The following is a 13,232-nucleotide window of genomic DNA, read 5'->3' on the forward strand; positions in this document are numbered from 1 at the left end:
TTGACATACTAGACTAACCCCTTAAAGAAATGTCAGCAAGAGATGATGTTATAATCAGTAGCAAGATTATTGTAAATTTTTTTTCTGGATTTTTCCCCATTATCTAAAATCTCCTTATAAACAGATTCCTTCTTACTCTCTGATGGTAATGCTTTAAACTGAATAAATGATTTCAAATGACAGATTGACTATGCAAACTCCTGGGGGGGCTTCCTGCAAAGAAGAAGCAGGCTGGCAAGTAGTTGCTACTTCTTTACCAGGAAAAAACAAAGTTAGAGCGAGTGGCTTGTCTGTGTGTGCCAGCTGTCATCTGGGACAAGCAGGACTCCTGACACACTTGGCAAGTAGCACAGACTTCCAAGTCTTTCTTTCTCTCTCAAGGCACAGGGCAGAGACAGCCACAGTCAAGATTTCCCAAAAGTCATGATTTCAAATGATTTTATTTTCAACACAGTGATTTTTTAAATTTAAAACTAAATGTGGTTTCATCTTTATGCGGGTTGAAGACTGTTTATATAAATACATTTTTTAAAAAATAGATAAAATCTTTAGGCCGTATTACAATGCAGGGTTAAGAAAATATGGCCATTGTATTTTATGCATTGTTATGTGTGATAATAAGGTTTAAATTTAATGCTTCAATTCAAACACATCTTGCAACTAAGAGGGTTCAGACAAAATTAGTTCACTTTCCTTGCTATTGTAGCTGTGGATCTAAGTTCCAATTCCCCACCCCTATATCAAAGTTACTTTCTTTTCTTTCTACCTACCCCCTCCAAAAAATAAAAATAAAAAAAGAACTGCTATCGGGTAGGTGCAGTTGGATGAAACCCACAAACAATAACAAGATATGGCGCCCACACAAGGCAGAGCCTTGGCTAGGACTGTGTCTGACATGACCCTCTGCAGAGCCTTGGCAGGGACCACTCCAGCTAGCATCATGGTACCTCCAGATCAGCAAGTTCAGGGTGGAGGTGGGGTGGACAAAAATTCCCACAAAATGCATCATTCCTAGGATGCAGGAGCATGAAGCATAGAAGAAAAGCTTTGCTTATTTAGAAAACTGCTCAAAATAAATATTACTCAAGATAAAACAGTCAAGGAAAATAGCCCATTCTTGTTTCATCTGTCTTCTCCATTTAAACTTGCAAAGTCTGTGGTTATAAAACATGCTTGGGGGCAGGCTTTACTGCCATATGCTTAGATATTCACAAAGGTTCAGACCAGGTACTACAGGGCCTACCAGGACATCAACAAATGCATCTAATGCCTAAGGAAATTATTAGGATTATATTTTATATTTGTGAAGAGTTTAATTTTGGCAAACCATTTTCATGACTGTTTTGAAGTGAAATGGGCAAGGTTATTATGAAGTCATTTTGGATCAGTGAGAAAAGAAAGGCACCAAATCAGGACAATTTATGCCTTATTATTCTTAGTTTCATACAAAATAGCCTAAGAAAACACATCTCCCCAACAAGTTCAGGTCAGTTGGGTACTTAACCCTGGATATACGCAAGGTACTATCTATGTCAGCAATTAGAGCTTGGCATGAACTAGGTTATCCCATTCATTCAATGAATAATTATTCCACAAATAGGCACTGAGTCGCAATTATGTGCCAGACAGAATATGATCAAGGCAGGCCTGGGCCTTCCACTCAGTTTACAGCTTCATCTTGTGCCTCTACCTGAGTGGTAGGGACCTGGGAATGAGGCCACATCCCACAGAGAGTTCTACACACCCCTGAGACTAGACTTGGGTCTAGCCTAAAGGCAGAAGCTTTGAGTTGAAATGGCAAAAACTGTAGGAGTTGGGGATTCTAATGCCAAGAAGGGTCCCATGGTCAAACTAGTTTGGGAAACGTGTCTTATCATATCCTCCTCTTAGAGGTTTACAAGCAAATTAAAAGGACTGAAAAGTCTTCCAATTAAGAAACATGCTAACTTTCATTCATCTAGCAAATATGTTTATCCTGGAACAACCCTAGAACCAGCCTTCTGTAGGATCCACTGTGGGAAATGCCGACAGGCCCACAGTCTTAGAGCAGAATCCAAGGACTCTGATTTAGAAATCGTATCTTCCTAGTGGCAAACACACTTGTCAGAATGGCCTGTTAAGATTTGGACTTCAGGGAACCCCTTGGCTTAGCGAACTCTCCAAGGAGGCAGAGAACAAAACAACTCTCTACCTGTTCTCTAGCATGCTATTCCTGAACCCACTGCCCTCAGCCCTGGACACCTTCCTTGGTTTCTGGGTTATCAATTCTCTTAGGACTTGGCTCCATAATTTCAGGCTTTGATTGCTTTCTGTGTTCTTTGACCCAAGTCTGGTCACAATGCCATTTGGCCTCCTGGTACCTGTTCTCATTCTTTGGTCCAAGGACATATCATGGGTCCCATGGCTCTACTCTACTATTCTGAAGCCAAGGGCCTCCCTTCTAAATTGTTTTCCATGAAATCTCTTGCTTCTGGGACAACATTTGGTTCACCATCTTAAATCTAACCTTATATTTCCTTGTGAGAATGGGTTACCTCAAAGGAGAGGGTCATGGTCCATCCCCATTTTAATAGAGAGAATTTAATGGTGATCCAGTGACCCCAGAAAGGGGTAGGAGTAGACCCTAGTATATTATATCATATATTATCTCATCTTATTGTCCCCAAAAATTATGAAGTAGTTGCAATTTTTTACTTCTGTTTTCCAAATCAGGAAATGAATCATTTGAGAGACTGTAACTTGCCCAAGCTTCAGTCACAAAGCTTTAGTGATTGAGCCAGGATTTGAACCCCGGCAGTCTGACTTCAAAGGGCATGCTGCTCTGAATCAAGAAGCCTCCCTTGATTTTCCATTCCATATCAGGGTCTACCAACTCATCTTCAAGAAGCCCTGCCTGGGAGCATGGCACTCTTGTCCAGTCATGATCCTGAGGCAGCCTAGGGTTCTCAGCTGCACCCCTCCCTCACCAGTCAGTTCAGCGCACAATACCGTGGGTTTGTTCTTCTCTCCCTGTTCCTCTGCCAGAGCAATCTAGCTCTACTACAGCTCAACTGCTAAACCACTCTGTGCAAATGTTCCCTCTCTGATAACAAAATGCTGTAAGCCAGGCTAATTGTATAAGTTTCCAGAAGGTTCCACATGCAGGGGCTCTAATAGTAGGATGGTGGAGACCATGGGTGAAACTGTGGGGTCAGATTTAGAATTTTGCCAGGACCAGGATTCACAACCCTCCCTGCACCTGAGCATCACCTAGGAAGCTTTTTCCCCGCCTAATTCAAAAGACCAATGCCCAGGCCTCATACTTGACCAAATGAATCAGAACTCCTGTGAGAGAGGCCCCAGCAGTGGCATTTTATTAAAGCTCTCTAGCTGATTCTTATGTGAGACTAGAGTTGAATATTCCTTTTCTAAACATAGGACTAGTTATATAAATAAAAACACATTTCCTAAATGTTGGCCTATGTACCTCCCATTGAGGCTATTTCCCGCTGAAAAACACGTGCTTTCTCAGAGTGAAGAGGTTTAAGAATCATGGACACGACTCTGATTATTATGTGCTCTTGGGCCAGAATCAACTTTACTAGGACTTTGTTTTCTCATTTATTAAAGAGGACTAATGTTAACATACCTTAAACGTAGGTAATGAAAAATGACTAATTCAGTGGTCATGGAGTACCGCTTATGCAAAGTTAAAATGCTGCTATGACAAGTAAGGGGATTTTGGTAATTTGTCTCTTAAGCATTGCCAAGAAATCTCCAATAATTATAAATAGGGATCTAGAATGGAATTCAATGAATCATACACCATAGACTCACTAATTACCTGTAAATGGCTGCTATTCTCTCCTTCTGCTAGTATATTTCCTCTGGAGAGCAACTTGGGAATATGAATCAAAAGAATACAATATCTTGAAATTTCTTTGGCACATTCCCACAAAGCCAATGCTGTCTTGTTGGCCAACTGTTTTCCTTGAAACAGGTGTGCTTCAGCTTAAAGAAGGCGGAGACCTACTATGAAAGAAATAACTGAACAAAGTATTCTTCCACTTCACACAGCTTTCTTAAAATAGAAACTTCCCTTGTGCATAGTTCATTAATTTATTACCCTTGAGGAGAAAAAAAAATCACAATGATGATGTAACTCTGAAATGATCAAGTTAACCATTGGGGAAATGTGATTTAATTTCTGAAAACTTTACATTAACTCATGTGTGATTAGAAGAGAGGTTTACTCCCATGAAGGTAGAAAGAGCAAAAGAAAGAGACATATTTAGGTTACAAGGCACAACTTTCAGCGCCTGCTTGTCACATCTTGTCTCACAAGTGATGGAGTGCATGGGCAGTGAGTCATGGCGGAGGCAATAGGCGCCATGAATGTGAGAAGATCTACCCAAGGCATGTCAGTCCCACTAGCTGGGCTCTCCGCTTCCACATTCCCACATGGCCCAGCACCTAGGTCAGCCTTGTTTGCATAAGAACCATTTAACAATGGCTCTCTCTATCTACTATAAGCTGAATGCTGCACTAGGTCTTCTAGGAAGACAAAGACAAAGGCAGCATGCTCTCTGCCCTTTAGACTTGTCAACTTAGGGTGCCCAGATATCCAGGTCTGACAGCCTCAATCTTTTGGGCAGCCCTACTAAGGGGATCTGTGCCAGTTCTGTTGGGAGCTTCGTGGATTAGTCCCATCCTTAGGTTGCTCCTCACAAATAGGAAACTTGCTCAGGGTTGTTTTCCCAGTTGTGTAGTGATCTGGACTGAGAACTTCCTACTGGCATCGGATCTCTTTGTCACCAATGGCATAAATCCACTACAGGAGTTGTTAGTGATGCTATATGGTTCATCACATTGGGCTCGGAGTACAGATTATGACTTCATAACTTACTGTCCCCTAAAGGCAAGAATTGCCATCAAGGCCTAACATAGTGCCTGTATTCCAGCACTACTTGTTAAATTCAAGGGCACAGAACTTGCCTCTCATGTTATGTGCCAACCGCACATGTGCTTGGCTAAAATTTCTGGTGCTTGGCAATCTGTCCACAGCTCGAGATACCTATAGAGATTAGGAGGTACAGGAGGCTCTCAACGTTTAGCTGGTGTGCGTTAAGAATCACCACAGGTTTTATAGAGGCAGATCCCAAGCCCCACCTCTGTAGATTCTGATTCAAAAGTTCTGAATTTGGCCTTAGGAATCTGCCTCTTTCAACCACACTGCTGTGGCTCTGATTCTGATGCCAGTGACTGGAGGGCCCTGTGTTTAGACATTATACCTCTCCCCTCAGGCTTCTGGGAAGATTCCAACCAAGAGCCCTGGGGGATCAGTTTGGGCTGGTGCTCCTCTCCACTGACCCAGCAGCTCAGATCCAGATGGAGGTTGGAGTAATATGAGAACCTTATCTTCTCTGCCTGTGCAACCTTCATGCAGCCATTTCTCTCCTGGTGTCCCTAGTCTTGACTTCATCAAGGGCTGCTGAGAACGTGTCCCTTTATGCCACTGACTTTACACTTAGCATTCCAAGACCTCACTAGCCTATTAGGATAACCTAGCATTTCACTGATGGTTGCCAAGGTGGCTCCTGAGTCATACAACTGAGAATATCCTGTCTTATACTGTCACACTTCTAATGCTAGTGGCTTCATTCTTAAACAAACCCAGTTTGATGCTGAGAAGTTGGGGATGTGATGGGTACGCCCTTGGAGTCAGGGTCTCTGCCTCATCAAGTGAGGAGTGAGATCCTTGGGAACAGCATGAACCCCAGACAATCCTGTTATAGACAAACAAAAGAACTCCACTGAGATGTCTTTAGTAATGTTCTAAAACCTGAAATTAATTATTCCCAAAGACAAGAGATGAATGATCAGACTGAAAATGGCTAAAATGGAAAGAACAAATGGCCTGTGATCAAAAGCACATCCCTGTGCTTACCTGGGATAATTCCCAGCAAATGTGCCCCTTAACTCCAATTTCAGGAAAGACAAACCCAGTCTTTCCTCTAATGTGTCATTCATTCTTTCACTCACTGACAAACACTTATCAGGTACCTGCTTTGTGAATAGAATAACACATCTAAAAATTACAAGACTAATTTCAATTAACCAGGAATTAACAGCCTGCTTCCTTTTGACAACCAGTAATTTTTTTTTTAATATTAAGTTTGCAGAAATAGGAGGCAAAGCACTCCAACCTCTGGGGAGGACTTTCAGATGGTGACTGGAGTCGGAGGCATTGGAGCAAGGAAGTTCTACCAAACATCACAACAAGCAGCAGAGCTTGTTGGCTGAGGGGGTCATGCTTTATCCATTCCAGCAGGCAACAGGGGCCCAAGGACAACTTGAAAGCTCCATTCTAAGCTGTCTGTGATTTCATAATGTCCCTGTGAAGTGAGGACTTAGTACAAGTAATGCTACTTAATACAAGTATAAGCAGATGCTTTAATGTACATTTGCAAAGAAGACTGATGTAGGTTTTAAATCATGATTATATAGAACCATGAAAGAGCATTTACTGACACCTATTGAACTGCGGACGCAACCTTTCTGCTAAAACAAAACAGCTCTATTTAGACCTGCACTCACTGAACTGGCAAAGATAAGAACCCTGTAGTCAGACTACCACTCTGCAGAAGAGGATACAACAGAGATTAGAGATTTTCTTTGGATGAATTAATAATCAACAGCCCTTTGGGAACAATTTCCACCAGTCTCCCCCCAAAAGACATGTCCCAGTTTGCCACTGGGCCTTCATCCATACTGCTCCTTCTGCCTGAAACACCCTCCTCCAAAGCTTCACATGACTAAAAAGGAGGTCACTAGCCCCATCAGCAAAGAAAGACAACACACCTGTTTCCCAGGTCAACATCAAGCTTGCTCATTTCTTTGTTCATTCATTCAGTCCCTGAGTTATTCAGTCTGTGTTGGGTACTTAATCCCAGTCCCCGTGGGGTGCACTGAGGACACAGATATGAAATGAGACACCATGTTTACATTCAGAAAGCTTGTAGCTTAATGGAGAAGACAGACAGAAAATTGTAGAACTGTATGGTTAGTGGTCTAATTTAGGTTTGTATTTGACAGGAGTACTGGGGAAGTTAGGAATGGGACTCAGTGGAGTCCTGAAGAATGATACAGTACCTGGTTGAGGCAGATATTGTGGATCTGATGAATGGAATTGGCTCATGTGACCCACCTATTTTCACTTTGTTCTCCTTGTATAAATGACCCATATTGATCATATGGTCAATCAGGGTTGGGGGTGCTGTCTGGGCCATGAAAGAAGGAGAAATAGCCTTATAAAAAGTAAGGCATGTACCATGGCCTCGTGCCAATCATACATCAGCACACTGGGGCAGCCACTCTGATGTTAATAAAATCTCTCTTCAAGATGGCAGACTAGACATGACAGTCTGCCTATTCTTCATTCAAAAATTCCAACTAAGTGGTGGAAAATGTGTATGAAAAAGAATAAATCAAGAACTGGGATGGAAATCAAGAAAAGTTACCATCAGCAGACAGAAATTTTAAGAAATTTATAGAAAATAGCCAACAGATATGTTTGGATTGAGCCAACAAAAACCACAATGTAAAAGAGATTTTAGAGAGAGCTAATGAAGAGATGAGAGCTGTTCTTCTCAACAGAACCCTGAAGAATTCAGGTCTGGAGCCATAGGGAGAAGGAACAGTCAAGGCAATTAATAAAAAGACTATGAAGAATGTTGTTTTCCATCTCTTTCTACTCCCCTTTAAGATTTGTACAGAAAGGCAGTACATAAAAGTAGTTCATCCCTAAAAATAAAGCCTTCCTGGTCCTGGCAGTCAGGACAGTCACAGGCTTGCCTGTCTGCTTCCCACTGTCACATGTGCCTCCTGTGAGCCGAACTGCCAGCCTTTCCATTCAGGAAGAGAAGTGTGGTGGAAAACCATTCCTACGTAACTGCCAAAGAAATCCCTCCAGTCACCTCTACTAGTCAGCACAGTCGTTCATTCATAAATATGATTGGGCCAGTCAACCCAGCCCTTCATTTATAAATATGATTGGGCCAGTCAAAAGTTACTGGTTATTGAAGGAAAACATAGAACATATGAAAGAAGGATCCAGAAGAGCAACAGAACATCTGATACTAAAGGAAATGGAGTTGGAACAAAGGACAAAGAAGGTAACTTTTTTTTTTAAAGTAATACTTTTAGGGATATTTGAGAGAAAAGTCTACATTCATAAATATAAAAAATGATTTTACAAAGATGCTCAGTGGAAAGTCTGAATAATTGAAATGAAATGACTCAAAAATAAATTTGAGATCCAGAAGACAAAATTGAGAAAATCCTCTGAATGCACATAAAAGGGAAGAAAGAAAATATGGGAAAAAAGTTAAGACCATAGAGGAGAGATCCAAGAGACCTAACATCTCCTAGAGCTAAGGGACCTAGTATCGTTTCCATAGTAAGAGCTACTAGAGGAGAAAACAAAGAAAATAGAGATGAACACTTCAAATAAATCATAGAAGAATATTTTTCTGGGCTGAATAAACCTTGAATCTTTGGATTTAAAAAACCTGAAGAGGAATAATAATTTAAAAAATATCTGGACACTTCCTGGTAAAATTTATTACCTCCAAGTACAACAAGAAAATCCTAAAAGTTCATGGGAGAGGGATGGGGGATGGAGCTACCTATAAAGGAATCAAAATCAAAATGGCAGCAGACTCTGCATCTGCTTTCCAGGTTGCTAGAAGACAGTGAAACAAAGTCCATAAAATTGTGATGGAAAGTAATTTGGCGTCTATTTTTCAATTATGAGGGCAAAATGAAGATCTACAAAGATACAGCCCTTCTTCTATTATTTTGAAAAAAATTAAAAATATGCTCTAGCAAAATTGAAAATGAGTCTAAGAAAGGGGTAGATGTGGAGACAATGAAAATAATCCAGTTGTGATGGAAAGAAATTCTAGTAGAAGAGCTTAAATCTAGTCCACATTAAATGGTAGCACAGAGGGCTTAGTAGAGAGCATCTTCAATAAGAAAGAGGTTACCATGACTAATAATTAAGCACCAACAATTAAACTATGACATGCCACATATGTACTGAAGATTTTAGTTTCTCCAGGTCAGAGAAGACAAAGATAATTAGAAACTTTAGAAAAATAAATATACATAAAGGGCAATTATGGCCCAAATATAGCAAACTAAAATGTAGTATGTGTTTAAACAATTTGTGGAATGTAAAAAACACTGGTATTAGAAGCAAACAAAGTTAAGCCTCTCTGGTCAAAGGGGAAGGTCACTAGATGCAGTGGTTTACGACTTCATGAACTATATTCCTTACGGATTGCCCTTTTTTATATAATTTTCACCAAGAGAACAATCCTAAAGGTGGGATTAGGTTTTGAATTCTGTTTTAAAACCCCTTCTCCCAACCAAGGGTATTTTTGTTTGATTATCTGCAGTCTTTTCTGTCTTCCTGAGACAGTTAACTAAGCTTTATTAACTAAAAATATAAGCCTGTACTCATTATGAAACAATGTTTTTTTAAGTTAATCCTCAATCTCTTAAAGTTTGATCTTTAATTTTTAATAAATTAAAATTAGTTAGAAACAGTAACTCTTACTTCAAACAGCTGTGTGAAGTTCAAATCCTCAATTTCATTTCAGAGTTCTTTTTCTTCTGTTGAAATAAAGTAAAATTAAACGTAATGCTTTTTAATTTTAAAATATTAGTAGTTGTTACTTTGGACAGTAAAACATTAAGAATGATGTTTCTTTTCTTTTTCATATTCTTCTGTGTTTTCCAAATGTCCAACCATAAACATATATTGATTCTATACTTAAGTTATTTAAAATGAATATGAATAGAAGACTAACATAAGACTATCTGGGTATATTACTAGGACTAGAAAGTCTCCCAGGTTGAATGGCTGGTTAGTTGAGTGATTATATAAAAATTGCACTGGGTTAAGTAAGTGATTTGGAACACATGCTTCAGCCTACCATCTCCTTTCCTTTAACATCAAGAACACATTCCCAGTGTTGTAGGTCTAAAACATCTGTCATGAAACAGATGTTTATTTTTTTGTGTACATTTTGCCCATGTGTTTAAACCTAAGAAACTTCCAATTAATTTAGGACTTTTAACAGATATTTTATTAGTTGAATAGCTTATGCAAGAGAAGAGGAAGGACAGGTTTATTTTAAATTCCCTCAAAATGTCCCTGTTTAAAAACAGAAGAACAGTGGTTGGCAGGGGCTGATGGGGAGGGGTGAATAGGGAGTGAGTTTAATGGGGTTGGAGTTTCAGCTTGGGAAGATGAAAAAGCTCTGGAGATGTACAATAGTAATGGTTGCACAACAATGCGAATGTACTTAGTGAACTGAAACGTACACATAAAGATGGCTAAAATGGTAAATTTTACACGCATATTTTACCACAACAAAAAAAGTCCCTGTTAATTTTAAATCCAGACATGATATAACATGATTTCAGTGAAAACTTTCCTTTTTTACAGTATTTCAAAATCAGTGTCTTTTAGTTAACCTGTAGCATAACTAAGTTTTGTGCTGTTTGTGACTCTAACAAAATACCCCTCCTGATGGGGATGCTGATGGAACAGTTAATAAACTCTTGGTTCATTAACAGTATAGTCCTTGGCTATAATCCGTAGGCTGTTTTGACAGTCTGAGGAGAAAGAGAGTTCTATTTCTAAATAGTAACAGATCGACCTTTAAAAATTGGAAGTTGATCAACATTTTTCAAGGTGGGCACAAACAGATCTAATGACAATTTCTTTTGCAAAGTGGAATTTGGACCAAAGATTGCATCTTTAATGGTTAAATAGCTTCTATTTTGTGAAATATATTCTGAATATACCAAAATATATATATATACCCTGAGAGAGAGAATGGTTTGCTTTAACTACCCCTGGCAGTTGGGCTTGTACCAAGGTTGGTACCACGTTGTCCCATTCAACCTGGGAGACTTTCTAGTCCTAGTAATATACTCAGATAGTCTTATGTTAGTCTTCTATTAATATTCATTTTAAATAACTTAAGTATACAGATCTTGTACCAAGAGCTCAGGGCTCACCAAGGGTTCCCTCACCATTCCCTCCTGAATAGCTGGGAGGTGACAAGGAGCACAACATGGGCAATGGCCTTGGGGCAAAGGCCTCTCGACACAAAAACCAATTTACAAACCTTCACAATTGCCAGCAGCAATAGCAAGTGATGTTTTGTAAGTGGAAAACATACCTTTCATTCACCATCAGAGACTGAAATAAATGACTCAACTGGTTTAAAATCTTTATGTGATCAAATAGTTAAAAAACATATCACCGATTCAATTTCTTCTGGTGTTGGACCTTAGGGACAGTACTAATCTGTGTGCTACTAGAGTGAAATTATCATCAATATCAACGCATTACTCTTCACTAGAATGATTAACAGATGGTGTTTTTGTTGGCTACCCAGGGATTTGTTTTCTATTATTCTTTGTATTGTACATATATGTTATATACACTTTTTTGCATGTATAATTTATAATATTTTTCTTAAAGATGGCATGCTCTGGTTAAGAACATTCTGATAGTTGCCAGACACTTATATTGATGATCAGTATTCAAAGATTTCAGGTGTAATGTAATGCAATGCACTCATAACTTACAACTAAAATTTCACTGAACACAACCTAATTTTTCATTGGTGACATGATTCAAAGATTTTTCAGAATAATGTGCAGTGTCTCAGGGGTTTCAGTATATATATATTGTATGTTTTATATATATATAAATATACATATAATATATATTTATATAAATTTTCATTGTATACTCATTATAGTATAGTTTTATAGAAAATGTTTTAAAGGCTTGACTTGTTCATTTGGTTTGGAACTTATATGAGTATGACTTTGATGAGTAATAGGTTATATGTTTAAAACTATGAAGTTACACAGCTTTGCCTACGGATATAACCCAGCTAAAGTTAAAATGGCTACTCACACCTACGGAGGGCAAAAGATAATTCACATTTCTTAAAATTTAAGAAGTTAAAACTTTTCTATGAGAAAAATGGACAAAAATACTTAGCACATATTCAGGGATTTAAATGAGCTGTGTAAAGAAACAGAGTCACTAAAATATTCTCACCCCACTTAACATGTACATCACTTCCCTGCTCCCAGCTTTCCCCAGCTTCCTAGTGTCTATCAGATCAAATCCAGCTTAAGTGGATAAATCCTAGATCCTCCATGGACCCACCATATAGATTATATATTTTTTCCTTTTCCCAACCATGTTCTTGACTCCAGGTGGGGAGGTGTCCTATTTCTGTCACTAGAATGTTCTCATCATGCTTCTCAATGAAGGATTATCCTTTCACTTTTGCTCCTCATGCCAGACGCTCTCTATCCTTTAGGCCCAACTCAAAGCTCACTTCCTCTCCAAAGTCATCTCAATGCCATATATCCTCTGGGGTTAATCTGTTCACTAATCACCTAACAGAGATGTAAAGAGGAGGCACTGTATGTCCTGCATGATGCTGGGCACTGTGGGAAGTTGTAGCCAGTGTGGAAGACGTAGCTCTGGCCCTCAAATGCAGATGCCATCCAGCCTTCCTAACTAGACTGTTACCTTTTCAAAGACTGGCTGGTCCTATATTACTCATGCAGTATCCTACTTAGCTGAAATATCTTGGATGAGATGGGATATATCCCGGTTATTGAAAAGTCTGGGTGATTGCACCACATCTGCCCTGTGTCTATGGTAAGCAAATGAGGAACAGCTGGAGAAACCTTAGCAGTCCTTGGACATGAAAGGAATATTTTCATAGGCACTTAACTCTAGGGCTCACTGTACAGAGTTAACAAATGCTGAATGAATAAATGAATGAGAGTCTTCTTAAGGGAAGAGGAGTAGACTATTAGGATGGGGTGAAGTTTAAGTAAGTGAGAAGAGAGTTGGGGCATTGATTTCTCTACAGCAGAAGGGAAAGGGATGCCTCTTTGAGTAAGGACACAAGGACCACATTTCTGAGGATTTCAAATGCTAGATTTGACCAACACATGGAGCCACAGACCAATGGGACAGCTGCCATTTTGGCAATTTTGTTAAGAGGCATAAGATTTTGTTGAATTAGCTAAATTTTACCTGGCTAAGGAGAATACCCTAGCTTTACTACAAACCAGTAGAGCAGAAAACATTGCCCTAGAAGCATAGGAAATGGGCCAAAATAGTGTCAAAGATACAG

General features: G+C 39.3%; 1 protein-coding gene across 24 annotated transcripts in view; it reads right to left on the bottom strand.

The window, feature by feature from the left end:
• NCALD (neurocalcin delta) overlaps positions 1 to 13,232 on the bottom strand; it is a 438,366-nt gene that overhangs the window by 83,781 nt on the left and 341,353 nt on the right. For 8 of the 24 annotated variants that reach the window (NM_001040629.2, XM_047422317.1, NM_001040628.2 and 5 more), the window contains one exon: positions 9,602 to 9,657. The exons of the other annotated variants lie outside the window; for them this stretch is intronic. The gene's annotated coding sequence lies outside the window, so the exon portion shown is untranslated. The remainder of the gene's footprint in view (positions 1 to 9,601; positions 9,658 to 13,232) is intronic. 24 annotated transcript variants of the gene reach the window in all.

Source organism: Homo sapiens, chromosome 8 (assembly GCF_000001405.40).
Source record: "Homo sapiens chromosome 8, GRCh38.p14 Primary Assembly".
Taxonomy (NCBI): Eukaryota; Metazoa; Chordata; class Mammalia; order Primates; family Hominidae; genus Homo; species Homo sapiens.